General features: G+C 32.0%; 1 protein-coding gene and 1 long non-coding RNA gene across 16 annotated transcripts in view, besides 1 other annotated feature; one reads left to right on the top strand and one right to left on the bottom strand.

The window, feature by feature from the left end:
* EPHA6 (EPH receptor A6) overlaps positions 758-17234 on the bottom strand; it is a 946939-nt gene continuing 930462 nt past the window's right edge. For 13 of the 14 annotated variants that reach the window (XM_017006211.2, XM_006713592.4, XM_017006210.2 and 10 more), the window contains 2 exons: positions 14718-14867; positions 758-13703 (listed from right to left, as the gene is read on the bottom strand). In XM_017006211.2, coding sequence (XP_016861700.1) covers positions 13589-13703; positions 14718-14867 — 265 coding nt within the window. In that variant the 3' untranslated portion in view covers positions 758-13588. The remainder of the gene's footprint in view (positions 13704-14717; positions 14868-17234) is intronic. The other variant, XR_001740110.2, reaches the window with a different exon arrangement.
* Positions 4073-17234, top strand: part of LOC124906256 (uncharacterized) — a 40819-nt gene continuing 27657 nt past the window's right edge. Inside the window, exons 1-2 of one of the 2 annotated variants that reach the window (XR_007095973.1) lie at positions 4073-4161; positions 9360-9452. This is a non-coding gene — a long non-coding RNA (uncharacterized LOC124906256). Of the gene's footprint in view, positions 4162-9359; positions 9453-17234 lie in introns of those variants that run through there. The other variant, XR_007095972.1, reaches the window with a different exon arrangement.
* Positions 14624-15125: an enhancer, noted in NCBI's record as "NANOG hESC enhancer chr3:97466009-97466510 (GRCh37/hg19 assembly coordinates)". NCBI's record gives its function as "activates a minimal SCP1, AML or CMV promoter by ChIP-STARR-seq in primed H9 embryonic stem cells {active_cell/tissue: H9 hESC(primed)}" and the evidence as "EXISTENCE:reporter gene assay evidence [ECO:0000049][PMID:30033119]".

The raw sequence follows: 17234 nt of genomic DNA, 5'->3' as shown, positions 1-17234 counted from the left end.
ATTAAAAATAAATACATATAAATATTTCATATGGTTGATTCTGCTGTTTTGGTGCTTTGTCAACTGAAACTCCTCTCACGAGTACATTCAGAGGCTGAGATACAATTGTTTCGCTTGATTTAAGAAGTTAGTTTGACTCTTTTTTATTATGACAATAACAAGCTTTAAAAATGCTACGTGATTTTCTTAAAGCCACTTAACCATAACAGAAGATAATTTTAGGTACCTTCTCACCAGTTTTAATTTCATACTGGCTTTTAGAACTGTAGTAAGAAAATTATAAAAAAGAAAAGAGTCAGATATAATGAACACAGCACTGTTCTGATTAATTCAGGATACTTTAGCGTTATTTTCTCACCAGCAACTTTTAAAAGAATATAGATAATCCCTGATTTATAACTTACTGCAACTTTTTGGTGTAAACTTTGGTCTAAAGCTGTGTTTCAACAGTTGATGTTATGTGTACCCTTTTTTCATCTGCAATTTCTGTGCAGTACTGCCTCTGCAATGAACACTTTAATTTACTTGAATCTCACAAAATATTTTCCAATATAAAATCGCTACAAAAATATTTACTAGTTTTTTATAGTGATTTCTGTGAATTTATGTCTAAACCTAATGACATTATTTAAAAAATTTACAACTATGATTTTGCATCCAGAATTACTAAATTATCTAAACAGCATCTAGATTTATTAGACCAAAAAATAAATTGCATTAGATCTGCATAAATACAACAATACAAAAAAGTCACAAATTCAACCACCAAAGCTGTAACTTTTATTTGCCAATAGATATTTTAATAAACAGGCTTACTCCATCTGTAAGACCCTGATAATGCCTCTTAGGAAATCATAGAAAAATAAAATACAATAATTAGTAATTTGTACCTTGTACAAAAATCTTATTATGTTGCTCAGCAGGTAGTTTGCTAAACAGCATATTCTTTCAGCAAATAGATGACATATGTTATGCAATTCACCACAAACAACCCCTCATATTGAGAGCTGAGCATTCTATAACACTATTAACTTGTAAGCATGCCAGCACATGAAAATTTACATGGAAAGTTATTAATATTATAGTAGATTTTTGTAAGATAAAAATAGTACCACCTTCAAATAAGTCTGGACTACTTCACTGCTATAGTAAAGTAGATAATAGGTAGGATTGCAGTTCAATTGTTAACACCTTTTTACCTTGTTTATAGCTCTACCATATTGTGATTATAACCAGAAAAGAGAATGTAGGCTGTGTCAGGAACCTGAGTGGAAGGCATATATTGAAGCTTTAAATGGTGACAGAATACTAAAGAGAAAAACATAAAACAGTGCTATACTTCCCTATTCTCATAGATAAATCTTTTTCCCCTTTTGTAAGAGCAGATGGGTACAGAGTTAAATCCTTAATTAATAATAAATAGCTTCATGACAAGTTACAATGATGCTTTAAAAATCATATTTGTACTTATAGGGAGGGAAATTATTTTTAGCTGTCGTTTTTTATTAGTCAAATATAGCTCTATGAGGGATTAAATATCTCAACCTAGACATGTTATCTAGGTATTTTATATAAATATGCTATTTAGTTTGCATATACTTCAGGATTTGTGCTACAAAGATTTTATAACATTTTGAGTGCACTGCAATTGTTGATATCATCTACCATTTAAAATTTGATGCGGCCATTTAAAATTTAAAGTGTTTAATCAAATACATATGTATATGTACATCTATATCTTTATATTTTTGGCTATGCTAGAACAGCAAAAAATGGAGAGCAATCTCCATTATTCACAATCTAATTTCACATCAAATCCAAATAATAATGCATCTTTAAATTCCAACATATTGAATTACATACAACCTAGAGAGATATATATACACACATACACACATACATATGTATATATACATATGGTATATATACATATATATAATATATATATATATATCTCCAGAAACAAAGCACCAAGCACAATTAAAAGATCACATTCTTCCTATAGGATAGAGGGGCACAATGAACAACCAACCATATTGCCCATGTGTTTTCCGTAAATGACAGAAGGCATTGTTTTCCTATATGAAAACAAAATAATTTTTACTAAAAGATTAGTTCCTGTTTGTCTTTTATTTTAAAATTTACATGGGACCTCAATACCCTCCCAAATCGTGTTTGAAAAAAGTGACAGGTTGATTATGCAATATACATCTTTCAGGATTAAGCTAATTTTAAGTTTGATAGGCTTTGCATTATAACAGATTAGCTACAAAATGTTTCTGCCTTTTAATCTGTAATAGATGAAAATAAGGAAAACAGTATTTATGGCATTGAGAAGTTCTCAATCTCTACATTATGGAAAGGACTCTTACCAGAGTCCTTGGAAACCACAGAATTCAAAGTTTCGGGTCTTCCAATAAGATGTCTCAAAAATATTTAGTAAAGATGCCTTTAAAATATTTCATCAAATATATATTCACTTTCCTACTATCCAACTACTTACATATGTCTCTTCCAACCTATACGTCCTTCCCATCCTGCATATTGGCTTTTATCTCATTCTTGGTAAAATTAAAAAAAAACTTACGTAGTGACATCCTTCCCTTTCTACCACAAATATACCAACCTATTTGCACATTACACATTCTGCCTTCCTTTCATTGGAGTTCTATATTCCGGCACCTATCAAAAATTAACCTCCCTACTTATGCTTTAAATCGCAACCCCTCTATCTCTCAAGGCCTTTGTTACAATTATCATCTCTCTTGCATAATCAGTTTTCCCCTGTCTGCCAAGTCATTTTCATTAGTAGATAAATATGCTGTAGCATCCTTAAAAAACAAGACAATTCCTTGACTTCCTTTCTCCAGCTATTATCCTATTTCTCTTGCTCCCTTTACATCAAAGCTTTTTGAGAGAGTTGTTTATAGATAGTGATTTCACCTCCTTCCTTTACATCTCGCCTTAATCCATGTCAGTTGGGATTTGACTCCACTATTTCATAGTTGATAGTTGACTCCACTATTTTCATAGTTGATGACCTTGTGAAGGTCATCAACAACAACAACTTCCATGTTGCTAATTCCCATGGACATGTCTTTGTTCTAATCTTGACTTCTTAAAAGCATTTAATCCAGATGAGCAACTGCATTTCCTTTTTCTCTAGCTTACTTTATACTCCATTTCTTCTGTTTAATTCTAATTATCTGCCTATTAAACATTGGAATAGCATATAGTGCAATCCTAGGCCTACCTCCACAGGCTTTTCCTAGGTGATTTCCAAACTTTAAATAGCATATATATACTGATGCCTTCCAAATCTTGAAGTAGTGAATCCACCACGTTTTTGCTGGAATTACTCCAGTAGCCTCATGCGTATACCTTCTCCTCTTTTTGCCTCATTTCAGTGTACCAAGAACACTGTTCTCTACTCTCCAACACTCCAAATTTTCATTCATTAACTATCCCCCTCTGCTTGTAATTTCATTCATTAAATTTTCCCTCTGCTTGTAATGCTCTTCCCCCATATCTTCTCATGGATGCTTCCTTCATGCTTTTCAGATATCAGTTTAAATGGCATGTCCTTGGGGGAAGATTTCCTCTACCGCTTAAAGGAGCCACAGTCATGCTATGTAACATTTTTAATTATAAGCACAGCACATCACTATTTCTTCATTGTGTGTCTTTATCACTAGAAGGTCAATTCCATGAGACAGGGACTTTGCTTGTCTTGGTCACCATGTATCCTCAGTGCTTCGAACAGGACAATGGTACATGGTAGTGTTCAATAAACAGTTGAATGGAGTGAATGGACTTACAGATAAATATATTTTAAAGGTATGTCAGTATATGTATATATATGAAAATTTAGGAATTATACAATTTTGGACCAGTAAGGAGACATGATCTCCTTTAATTTGTTGTTGCTACGGTTATATTTGTTATATAGTTTAAAGAGGTAAACACTAAGCTTTGACTGATATTTTTGATTGTTATATTATAGATACCTTATTATTGCATTTAATGGTAGAGTGATCAAGGTTGTAAGGTAGGGAAAACGATTATTTTGTTTTCTCAAAGGTTTTTGGAAACTCTGAAGAAAATAAGCAGATTACACGTAAATGGAGTAGCTTTTCACTCTTGTTTGAAGTATCCTACTTGGTAAGATTTTACAAACTGAATAAGCAGTAAGTAGTGAGAAGTAACTATAAAAAATATATGTTCTTTTTTTGAATTTATAACATCCAGTGGAGAATTTTCATTTTGTATTTCCATTCATGAGAAGAGTTTGCTTTCTCTAGCAAATTTTAGGGGATATCAGACTAATATTAAATAAAAGAAGAATAACTTCAAAAAGAATAACTTCTAGCCACTGTGCTATGACACTTGGTTTCAACTTATTTGAGAGTTGGAAACTTTCAAGCATAATGAGACTGAATGGAAATATAAAAAATACAATGGCTCTTTTTTAAAATACTTAAAACAACTGGAAAGAGAAGGCAATCTTCTTGAAAGAATGTAAGCATTTAGAGATCAAAACATATTATATCACATAAAATTAATATGTAAGTACTATGTTTTTAAGCATTTAAGAGTATGTGTAAAATTAATATAACTGCTTAACAAGATAAATTGATGCTAAAAGACGGTATCAAGTAAGTTCCTTTTTTATGCATCTTTATATATACTATTTTTATATTTAATGATGGCTGGAAAAAAATCTCTTTATTATCCATGGGATAATTTATTAATATGTTTAAAGTGCTATGGCAGTCCAATATTCAATGTATTATTATTTGAATTTTTTGGCAAATTCTTTGATTATATATGTCTTGGAAAACAAAGGATTAATAATATGGAAATGTTAAGAATTTTGATGACTTGTTCCATTACAAAACATTTTTAAAATGAACTTTTTCCTATTTTTGATATTTTGATGACATTTCTTTCTAATTGTATGTATCAATACATATTTTAACAACTATTAGTGTACTCATTTATATTAGAGATTCCCATCCTTGAAATGCACTTTAGTTTCAAAATTACCAGTAAGAGTACTGTGACATACTTTTTATTCACTCTTTTCTAACAGTTTTTAAAATGAGGTAAGTAACAATTTTAAAACAAACTCCTCTTTGTACTGTATTACCTTTTAGTGTTTTCCTTAATTTTAGTGGAACTTAGTCTGTTGCCATGTTCTGCATTCTTGCTTTGCCTCTGATTTTTTTAAAAAATGAGGTTACTATAGCACGTATACCATAATTAACATTTTAAGAAACAAAGACTGTTAAAAATTATTCCTTCAAAATTCAAAATTAAACTGTCAAAGTTTTCACTGTACACAAAATTAAAAATAAGTATGATTATGTAAAATATCCCAAAGATATTTATATCCTGTATATATTCAATGTTTTTCAATGTCACAATCCAAGGTGGAATGTGACTAACAAAATGAATAATAATGTATCCAAAATCAAGCACACACCATAATCTTTACATCAAATGTTACTCATGTTCATATTTGTTAACACTGCTCAGATATTGTGTCCTGCTCGCTCCCCAAAATGCTCCCATTTCACATTTTGATTTTTTTTACTCTAAGAGGCCTAAAAACCATAAAATTTTATCAAAGCTACATTTTTTTGGTAAGAATAAAATGATATTTTTGCATAGTATGAATATATTAATACATTTTTCTTTGAAGACATATCTAGCATGGGAAGAAAGAGTACATTAAAATAAATTCCAAACTTCAATGACAAACATTTATACACATTAAACCTTACTTTCCATGCAGAGCAGCAATTTTGAAAAGCTCCAATCATTGTTTATTAACTATGTATGATATTCAGCATTGTCTTAAAGATACTTTGAGGTTATTGCAGTAATAGCTCTTGATAATATACCAATGGATATTTAAACAAGTTAAATTTAACAATGAGCATATCAATCACATTGACAGAAAAAAATAGCTTGTTCAGTTACAAGTTTGTTAGCAAGTTATTGGCCATTGATTTTTGTTATAGAGCTTCTAAAGGCTACAATTTTGAGCAGACTTATTCTGAAGACAAAAACAATATGGTAATAAATAAAGCATGCACAGTCAAAGAAAAACTTCCTCATGACTTTAATAATTATATTACTGGGTAGATGAGAATTCTAAAGATAGCAAAAGTTACTACTTTGAAAAATAAACTAATATGAAGAATTATATTATGGCTTCTCTAAGTGAATGAAGATGTGTTTAAATGTAAATTTAACAAAAGCAATTTCTATCTAAATGCATACAGTTCATCCTACAAATTACTAAAGGTAGGAAAGAGATTTTTAATTATAAAAGCAGTGGAAGAGGACATTTTACTTACGGTAAAAATCTTAAAAGTGTAGTGTTTGCCTATCTTTACAAATTAGCATTCTTCTCCCTATCATGATTTTGAAAAATTAAATGATATTGAGTCTTTATAGAACAGAGCCAAATTAAGACTGTTCTAAGGATGAGCTACAAATGTGGAAAAACTTGTAGAGAAATGTTCACATCAATTTGCTTCTCATGTAAGCTCATATTGAACTCATGAAACAAAGATATCTATCCTCAGTTACTAATACCTAAATATACAAATTGAATGGAATATATGAAAAATGATTCTTATATCCTTGGAATTTTTTCTATAATAATGTATTATTTTGGGATAAAGATAGTTCTCACTTCAGCGAGGGATAATGAGATGGAGACCCTGTTACTAACTAAATAGGAATCCTGAATTAGAGTTGTCCTCCTTTTATTATTTTGTAGAGCACCCTATCTATACTTGTATCTCAGTTGTTCTGATTTGTTGAGATTATAACTTATTATCTAACCAGAAATGAGTTTATTATGACAAATTAAAAATGGCCAGAGGTCACAAATAATGCAGAAAATACAAGTAAGAACAGTTTTACTTAAGGGAAGATTTTCACTAATTCTGATACTTTTCTAGTTTACAACTCCTGAGAAGATTGTGTTGTTAATTTATACCTTATTTTTTAATTAAATATAGAAGCCACATCTTTATTTAACATTTAAGAGCTACTTTTCCTCCTCATCTGTCAAGTGATTTTTCTTTAATACCTTTGTTATTCTGAGGAATGAATTAGTTGTGTCTAAGGGTAATGGAATTCTTTGAGACTTTCTCTATAATGAAACAAATCAAAAGTTCTCTTAATGATGTAGAGATTTGTTACTTTGATTAATCAGTGTGAAAGTTCAAGCAAGAACTTTTCCATGTTTTGTTTAAAAGAAAACTTTGTGGCCGGGCGCGGTGGCTCACGCCTGTAATCCCACCACTTTGGGAGGCCGAGGCGGTTGGATCACCAGGTCAGGAGATCGAGACCATCCTGGCTAACACGGTGAAACTCCGTCTCTACTAAAAATACAAAAAATTAGCCGGGCGTGGTGACGGACGCCTGTAGTTCCAGCTACTCTGGAGACTGAGGCAGGAGAATGGCGTGAACCCGGGAGGCGGAGTTAGCAGTGAGCCGAGATCTCGCCACTGCACTCCAGCCTAGGCGACAGAGCGAGACTCCGTCTCAAAAATAAATGAATAAATAAATAAATAAAGGAAACTTTGCTTTCAATGGGACAGTGCAAAAATCACTTGATGTCACTGAGATATACAAACTTTGCAGTTGACAGATTCCTTTTTAAAAGGTAAAGTTTATTCATTTCCTAGTGCTTTGCCTGCCTTAGTAATTGAAAAGTTTTCTCTTTTTTTCATTTTAAAATGTAATTTTGGATTGCCACTGGCTACCTAAAGAAGTTCCAAATATATTGTAAAATCTCAAAAAGTAAATGCTAATAAAACAAAAACTCTTTTGAATTAAGAGCAAAGAATCCAAGTCTTTCCATTAAGCTATAAATCTTCTCACTGGGCACAGTGGCTCACGCCTGTAATCCCAGCACTTTGGGAGGCTGAGGCGGGCAGATCACCTGAGGTCGGGAGTTCGAGACCAGCCTAACCAACATGGAGAAATCCCGTCTCTACTAAAAATACAAAATTAGCTGGGCGTGGTGGCGCATGCCTGTAATCCTAGCTACTCGGGAGGCTGAGGCAGGAGAATTGCTTGAACCTGGGAGGCGGAGGTTGTGGTGAGCCAAGATTGCACCATTGCACTCCAGCCTGGGCAACAAGAGGGAAACTCCATCTCAAAAAAAAAAAAAAAAAAAAAGATATAAATGTTATTTTTTATACATTTTATACAAACTCATTGTTAATTTGAAGCTAATTTATTACTCAGAAAAAGATGATTTGTTAAAACTACATTTTGATGACCTGTATCTTTTTCTGGATCTTTTAATTTTTTTCCAAGAATACATGTACATTATGCCACATCCACTTATAACAAAAAAAGTTAATTTTTATCCTGAGAAATCTTTGCTACATCTCATCAGTACTTTTTTTTTAACAGTAAGAAATAGATGGAGTGTTTACTTTTACACAATATAAGATGTTTCTATCATTTCACTTAGTAATATGTTATAGTCAGGAGTAATCATCTATTTCCCCTGTTAAATGGATGGAATTTAAAAGGATTTTATGCCACCATTGCAGTTCATACCTATTATTATGTTTACTAGAACAAGTGAATAAGCTTGAACAAGAGATTACTCCAGAATTGCTCTTGAAAAAAAGCTAATGTTTTCTAACAGGAGGCACCTTTGAGGTAGTGAATCCATATACGAACTGATAGCTATGCTATCAGACAATAAAAATCTGTGACTCCTGAAGAGGATCAACTGTTAATGAGAGAAACTGTTTTAGAGAACCCAGGAAGTATGCTTCCCCTCCGCCAGAGGGGTTATGGAGTGTTTCGGAAGAATACTATGAGAATTTGAGGTCCAAAATATTTCTTTCCATTTGAATTAGAATTGCAAATCCAATTCACACTGGACGAAGATCCTATTTATTTCTTTATATTCTATGGAAAGTGCTATCCCCCGGTGACATGGCAACCATAGCAAACATAGCAAATAAAGCTCTAAATTTTAATAATGAGAGTTACTTGAAAGCAATGACAGCACAGCCAAACGTATCTTTGTAGTAAAATTTTGTGCATATAGGAGATATTCCATAGATATTTGTTAAGCTGAACTAGATAAAATCTATACTGTCTTTGTGGAACATTATAAAGATTGAAAAATTGTTGAAAATGTTGCTTATAAAAACCAAAAGTTAGGTGACTTAAGTATCTTATATTCTGGTGGAAGAATACCATCCATTTAACCCAGTGTACTCCTCTACCTTTTGGAGTCTTCATATTAAAAAATATTAAAATATTTGTTGATTGAATGTAAAGTAATATGAGTCTCTTCTACTTCACAGAATTTGAGATTGGAAAAGTTAAGATGCTCATACTAAAAGAAGTGATACATATGCTTCAAATCTCTTTGATATATAGAGACATGGACACCAACTGTGAGTTTATAATAACAGATATTGATCTTAAAATACTAATTTTTAAAATATTAATAATAAACTTCCTTAGTTAAAGCAATTAAAAAGGATCATCATCATCCATTTCAAAATTACTTTCCAAAAACTTGATTTCAAGTTAAGGAAAAGCCAGAACCCATATCCTCTGTGAGTACAAATGTTCTCAATTATGTGATAGAACCCAAAATATTATAGCTTTTGCAACATCCCCCTGCCCCAAGCCTCTTCTAAAAAAGTCTATACAATCTTTTTAGATTTGTTGTGCTACCTTTTTTATGCTGATTGAGATAATGTGTGGCGTGATAGAAGCTGAGAAAGGAATAAAGAGAGAGGATGGGGGAATTAAAAACAGGGCTGAGAAAGTTTTAGAAAATTTATTAAAAGAGGAGAAAAGAAAGAACTAGCACAGTGAAAATTATGAAATGAGAGATTTAACTGACTGCCTTGTAGAGCAGAAATTTGGTAGGAAAAGACACCAAAACACATTTTTAAGAAATGTGGTTGGGTGATAAGTAAAAGAATTCATTCTTTACCGTCTCTTCTGAAGAGCTTCTTTAGAGCCTTTGCTTTTCAAGGATCGGATTTGGATTTGTTTTCCATTCATGGGCTGAGATAGGTTTTAAAGCTGTTGCTGGAAGGCAGTTTTATTCAGGTTATACTTTGATAGATTTTAAAGACCAATGCAGAGTGAAATAAGATGTCTTATTTTGATATGGAATGTAGAACATTTATCACCAGTTATAACTCATTGCAAAAGTGCTATAATTCTTGATTCGTGTTAAACCACCAAAATTTTGCAATTTGATTGCTTTTTAAAATGATTTAAATACTTTATCTCTCTCCTTGATTGTACATTGTTTTCACATTTTTTCCAAATATGCCTTCTACTATGAGATAATGAGTTCACCATAGACAAAATTGACCATCTAGAAATAAAATGAAAATGATTTTTTAACTGTCTGGTTTTAAAATCCAAAACACCCCCTCAGTAGCATAGATCAAGACATTTAAAATAAAGTAGGTATGTGAGTCTATATGCATATTTTAGGTATCAAAGATTATTCCTGAAGACTTGTGATTTATGGAAGTTACTTATTTTCTTTTTATAATTAAGTTTTATGCTTTGCATATTAAACAGATTTAATTACCTAAAATTTACACTAGTAAGTCTCAAAATGTTTCATGTAAAATTTTCAGATGAATTTGGCATTTTAACTGTTTATATTCCTGAATATTGTAATATTCCTGGGATCATGGGGTCCATGATTGGTAGGCAGTAAATCCTTATAGTAAATCCTTATATTTTAATGTTTCTGTTTAATCTTGCACACATGTTTCAATGTTGCCATAACCATAATGAAGTTCAAAGTTACATTTAAGATTATCATGCTTACCATTCTGAAAAATAAAATTATAATTTAAAAGGAATTTTGAAGGAGACATGGGATGAGAGACAAAGCAAAAAGTAGTTTTATGATACTATCAAAAGATGTTAGAGAAAGAAAAAATAAGTACAAATTAACCAGATGTAGAATAGGATCATCAGACATTTTAAAAGAAAGAATTCTTAATAGGCAACTTTAATCTTGTAATCACTGAATGCTCATCCCATAGAAATTTAAATAACTTAATAGAATTTATTTCAAGGTACACAGATGGTGCCGACAGAGTCCTGTGGAAGACCATATTATTCTATTCCTTATTTTCCTAAATACCTTTTTTGTATTATAAAAATAAATATATGATTAATAAATTTAATCTGTTTTATATCTGTTCTTATTTAATATATATTTGAAGATAGGTAAATATGGAAATTTTATATTTCTTCTAAGTGTATCCAGATTTGTGTAAATGTATCAAGCAAACTGCAGATAGTCTATGAGTGATGCACAACCATGCAGGTTGATGGCTGGAAAATGTGGCTAGCTATATCTGGCACACTTACTTGAAAAGTGATGATTTTCCCATCACCCCCTACCTTTTTTTGTATATTTTAAGAAACATCTAAAGACTCTTCCTTCTAGCTTTGCTTTACACATTTGTTTTGAAATGAGAAGGATTAAGCTGTGGTAGGGAAAAATCAGGAGACAAGTCAGCAAAAGAAAATATGTAGAAGGGTCTAGTATAATGGGACGATCAACAAAATCTAAATATAAGAAAAAAATGGCCAGGCGCGGTGGCTCACGCCTGTAATCTCAGCACTTTGAGAGGCTGAGGCGGGCAGATCATCTGAGGTCAGGAGTTCGAGCAGCCTGGCCAACATGGTGAAACCCCGTCTCTACTAAAAATACAAAAATTAGCCGGGAGTGGTGGCAGGCGCCTGTAATCCCAGCTACTCGGGTGGCTGAGGCAGGAGAATCGCTTGAACCCGGGAGGCAGAGGTTGCCGTGAGCCAAGATCTCACCATTGCACTCCAGCCTGGGCAACAAGAGCAAAACGCCTCCGTCTCAAAAACAAACAAACGAACAACAAAAACAAAAACAAAAAACAAAAACAGGGTCCTTTATTTAAAAAAAAAAAACCACTACTATGACAAAAAATGAATTTAGATAGGAATTTGAGAATTAGGGTAGGTAGGGCACCATTATCACTGAGATCCAACAAAAGCTAATTTATTAAATCAGCATCTTTAGACAACCTACTCTGTTTTTTTCTCTCAACACATTTTACTTACTCTTTCACCTAAAACAGTCGTCATTTTTTTAGTTTTACAGGGAGCAGCTGATTTTATAATTTAATTTGTTCATAAGATATAGCACAATTTTGATAAGCCAACTCAGCTTAAATCACTTAAAATATATATTTACCTTTGTTTTTTAAGCCTCTCAGAAGATTATGACAACACAGCTGTGTTCTCATTTTTATGTAACTGTACGTTGGACCCAGGTTGACACACTATGCTCATGTGTAAGATCTGTTTATATGCTCTTTGGAGTATTCATACTTATTTCTTAGAAGGTTTCGAAAAGAGCTCAGCATGTTCATGTAACTATTTTTGCAAAGAAAACATAAGAACGCTTCAACTTGCAAAATGTGCCAATACCAAATGATCAGCTAAGTCTGTTTATTTTCTTGGGCCACCATGTATCTATCATAAAGTTCTGTTTAAATTAAATTAATAATTTTACATTAAATCTAAGGGTATAATCTAACGTATTTTATTCAAAGCAATTCTACTGAGAATGACCAATTTTCTCAGTGCTTTGATAATTGCTTTTGCAAACTTGTGACAATGCACAAAGGAAATAGTCATGGATTTATCCCAAGCTTTTCTCTATGAAAGCCATTAGATCAATGAAGTCACCCTTGGTCTTTCCAGGAGCGGTCTTCATAAGGTAGTAGAGAAATATACTACGGTTAGTAAAAATAAATAAATAAATAAATAAAATTAGAGGTGAAAAGCCTTTAAACTACCACCTACTATGAAATATGTATGACATTATAAAGTTAATTTTTAAAAAATTGACAAACCCAGCCTCAGAAGATTTATAAACACAGTATTTTTTTCTCCCTCCCTAATAACCCCCTTCTCACCATAGTCATACCTCACAAAAATTCATTACATGATATCACTGGTCATTTCTGCAAATAATTCTAACAATATCAGGCACCAACAGTTAAAGTATTAAAAAATAAAGTAATAATACAACCAATAGAGCTGAATATAATTATCTAAAAATGAAACATTTCTGTCAGTTTGGAAGCTACTTGATCACAAAACATGAAAGAAAGGTCAACTAGTTCTTTCTCATCTACCATCACACTCTACATACATCACTAAGGAAGCCCCACCTGGATAAATTTTTTTAGGTTAAGTCCGTGAACACTTCCCATATACGGCTTATACAAAATTACACATCCATGCTGAGTTATTTACCATTGCGTAGCAATAATCTGCAGTGGGCCAGGGTTTTAGTTGCAGGTTATTCAGAACGGATTTATGTAGCATGATTTTAAAATCCTGGTTGGAAGCATAAACATAAGGTGTGTGCCTATAGTCTGAACAGAAGACTGCAGTTTGTGAAGTGATGTTTGGAGAATCAGAAGAGAGAGTAGTAGAGAGGATATCGTTCATTTTAGAAATGCTGAGGCACAAAACACAGGTGCTTGTGGTACTTTCATACATGAAATCCCTTCTCCTGTATGTGCATCATGTGTAAACGTAAAGTCTGTATGCTGCTGACTATTCGTCTCTGGTGTCCAATAAGTATGACTCCAATTCTTCTAATGTCACTGAAAGAAAGGAGAGAGCAAGAGTGAGAGCGAGAGTGAGAGCAAGAAAGAGAGAGAGAGAGAGAGAGATACAGAATATGAACATTCAGATCTAATAAGCATGCAAGATAAAGTGAATATTTAAATATATTAAATAAGCACTCTGCCACAGTTACCAAAAATAGTGTAGCTTACTTGTTAAACAGAGATTTAAATGAGCAGCAAAAGTTTGTTTCTTTTTTTCCTTTTCTCTGGATCCACAGAATACATAAAGTTAATCTCAGATGTAATAATATATATATTTCAATTTTATACACAGGTACTTATGTAATACTCAGATATTTCATAGGCGTAAATGCTATATAATTTAGGTAATGATATACATTTGCAACAGTATTAGCAAAATGGTGATTATGTAGGATGGAAGGTATAATATGAACTCCGTTTGATTTCTCATGGATTTTTGATATCTAGAAAAAATGCCCTTAGGTTGTACTGTATGAAATTGCCATTACTGTCTTAAAACAATGGCAATTTAATATGATTCAAACTAACCATTTAGTCTTTTAAGCACATGTTAAATATTTTCATTGCATGTAGGCAAAAGACAATCTTTGAGAATAGTGGAAAATGGTTGACCATTATAATATCTAGAAGGAGCTCTGAAAATGACATGATAATATTGCATTATTTGATGAAGGTAATAGAAACTGATTATGCAATATTAATATATGTGAGTAATAATTTGCCAAGGTAAAATTAAGTTGACATAAAGTCTATGATTTGGATGAGAGTAACATGCATTTTAGAAAACATTTAAAATATTTTAAATAGCTATTTGAATTAAATATATTCTTTCAAAGAATAATAGCTAAAAGTGTAATGTCCAACTTCCACTAGAATGATAGTCAGAAATGGTGAGCAAAGACTTGGAAATTACCCACTAGCCTAAGGAAAGGTGTTCTTGATACAGCATTTGAACTTATAATCCCCAGCAGGACATCTCGTTACAGTAATAAACCTAGTATCACTTACTCAATGCTCATTCTTGAAATCAGGTCAAATGTTGTAAACCCTGCTGCCACGAAGTTATTCTTGTATTGCCCCATCTTTATAGAATCTAGCCAGTCACCAACTGTGACAAACAAAGGATATTCCGGAACTTCACCAGGGGACTCTGGCATTCTGTAAGAAAACAAAACAAAACAAAACATGGAGAGCATTTAAAAGCCAAATAAAGCACAAATCACGGAACTTTATTTTTACTTTTACAATATTCTTACATCTAATGTTTTTATTCTCCATTTGAAAGCCTCTGATTTTCTATCTTATTCAAATCAGTCACTTTAAAAAATTATTTATCAAATCAGTGACTTATCTGGTGGAACACTTTTGTCTTTTTGTGTTTTTTGCTATGACTGGGACTTACATTGATCTTTTTTTTCTTTTTAATTTCTTTATGATGGATGTTGAGAGAACTCACATCTTGCTATCCCCCTTCTTCTTATACTTTTTTCTCTTGCATAAAATTTTGTTTTGAAACTTAAGGAATAGCCCATCCCTTATCCCCACAAGGAGAGTAGCCACAGGATGTTCATTCTTCCCCTGTCTGACCTACCCCTGAATCCATGTCCTTTTCTACATTTGCTGTGATAGTTCTTCTCCTTCTTATGGTGAATTCATTGATCAAACTTCCATTTGTCTGTTCTCAAACATTCAATAATAATTTATCATTTCTTAAAATGTAATTTTTATTGTCACAGAGTTCAGTTGCATGAATAAGATTTACACACATACAAGCTAGGGTAATGTCCCCAAAGCACAGATATTAATAAGGCACAAAACAACACAAAATCAATGTTAGGTTGGGTTAACAAGAAAATGGATCTTAAAGGCAATGATATAGCAATCTTTATTTTTGTTTCTCAGATCTGATGCAAGGGGAAGTATAAAAGTATTACTTTGGAAAGGCTAGGGTATACATGTGCTTATATATACATTACATACACATATTTATATGCAATATATATGAAATAGTTATATATAATAGCTTAAGTCAGAGAGAATAAAAACAGAATTAATCTTATAAATTCTGGTAAAAGTAACTCAGAATTGTGTATTTAAGCCATTCTGACAATAAATTGTATTAGTTTCTTTACATACTTACATAAAAATACACATTAAAATATTTTGCATGTTTTAAAAAATACTTGGTGGTAAAAGTGCTTTTATAGTAATAAATGTGTCACAAAAGCTCTATGGTAATAAATATATCATTTAAAGAATTTTTAGATCTGTAATTTATATTAACTAGTAAAGCAGTAACAATCTTTAAAAAAAATTTAGTGTTTGAGTGAAATCGATATGTTGTAAGTAATGAAAAACTTCCTTATTAGAAGTGAATCACTGAGTTATTTTTATTGGAATATTGAAGTTAGTTCAACTTTCATTTACTTTGTTTTTTAAGTTTTATAAAGTTAAAGAATGAAAGAATCTACAAAGACAATTAGAGCCATAGATTTTAATGTTCATATTTCGACTGTTTTATCAAAGTGTTTTTACCATTCACATTTGAACTACTTCAGCTTTAACTAGCAATTGATAAGCTACGAGCACAAATGATTACACCATGTGAAGTAAGAATTCCCCTACTGTGAAGCAGAAGGGCATATACATGCTATATAACCCTGGTATTGTTCTACTAATAATATGGGAATTAGGTCCTAAGGTTAATACTTAAGGTAAAAACTGAAATTCCCTAACCATCAAAATTACCCTTAAAAATCCTTTAAGTCACCCTAAAGTCACCAGGACCCGAGTCTTTTAGGAGCACAAGTTGTATATGGTACAACTCCTGAAGATTCTGAAAGGTGCCCTTGGAAGGCCTAGAATTCATTTATTTGGTTTTCCTTTTATTACTACATTGACCTACCTTTTTCTAAACTGAGGTCTAGCTGAAGGTGGAGGTGGGGTGAAGAGAGATTACAGGGTGGGGTTGTATTCTTTATATATGATTGGAATTAACATAAATTAAATGCATATACCTTGTGATTGATTACACTGTAGTCAATATTGGGTCTGGTTATCCATACAGTGACTTCTGTCCTTTTTAACACTACTCAATTCTATTGCATTTCCTATTTGGAGGCTGTTAAGCTGCATTCTTTTTTCCTGTACTACATATTGCAACGTTATTTTGATTGTGGGCTGTTTCATTTTAATTAACATCAAAATGATTCATGATTTGACCTAAAACAAAGATCAGTCATATTCAAAGATTGGAAAGCTATCATAGCATCTACCAACAAATACTTGAATTGTTGCTGTATTTATTCAAAGTTTCCTAGAGGTGTTTATGTTAATCAATATTGTAAAATAAAATTTCATATGTAAAATACAAAATAATAAAGGTCTTCATGGCAAAAATTGTGAAGCAGATTTTTAAGTTGTAGCATTTCTCAGAGTTTTCACTGCTCTAATGTGCATTGTAAATATGTAAGATAATTCAGAATAGCTTCTACATTATTTTTCTAAATTATTTGACCAGTTTCA

This window comes from Homo sapiens, chromosome 3 (genome assembly GCF_000001405.40).
Source record: "Homo sapiens chromosome 3, GRCh38.p14 Primary Assembly".
NCBI classification, from domain to species: domain Eukaryota; kingdom Metazoa; phylum Chordata; class Mammalia; order Primates; family Hominidae; genus Homo; species Homo sapiens.
Note: the sequence above shows the minus strand (reverse complement) of the source record. Positions and strands in the feature narration are given on the sequence as shown.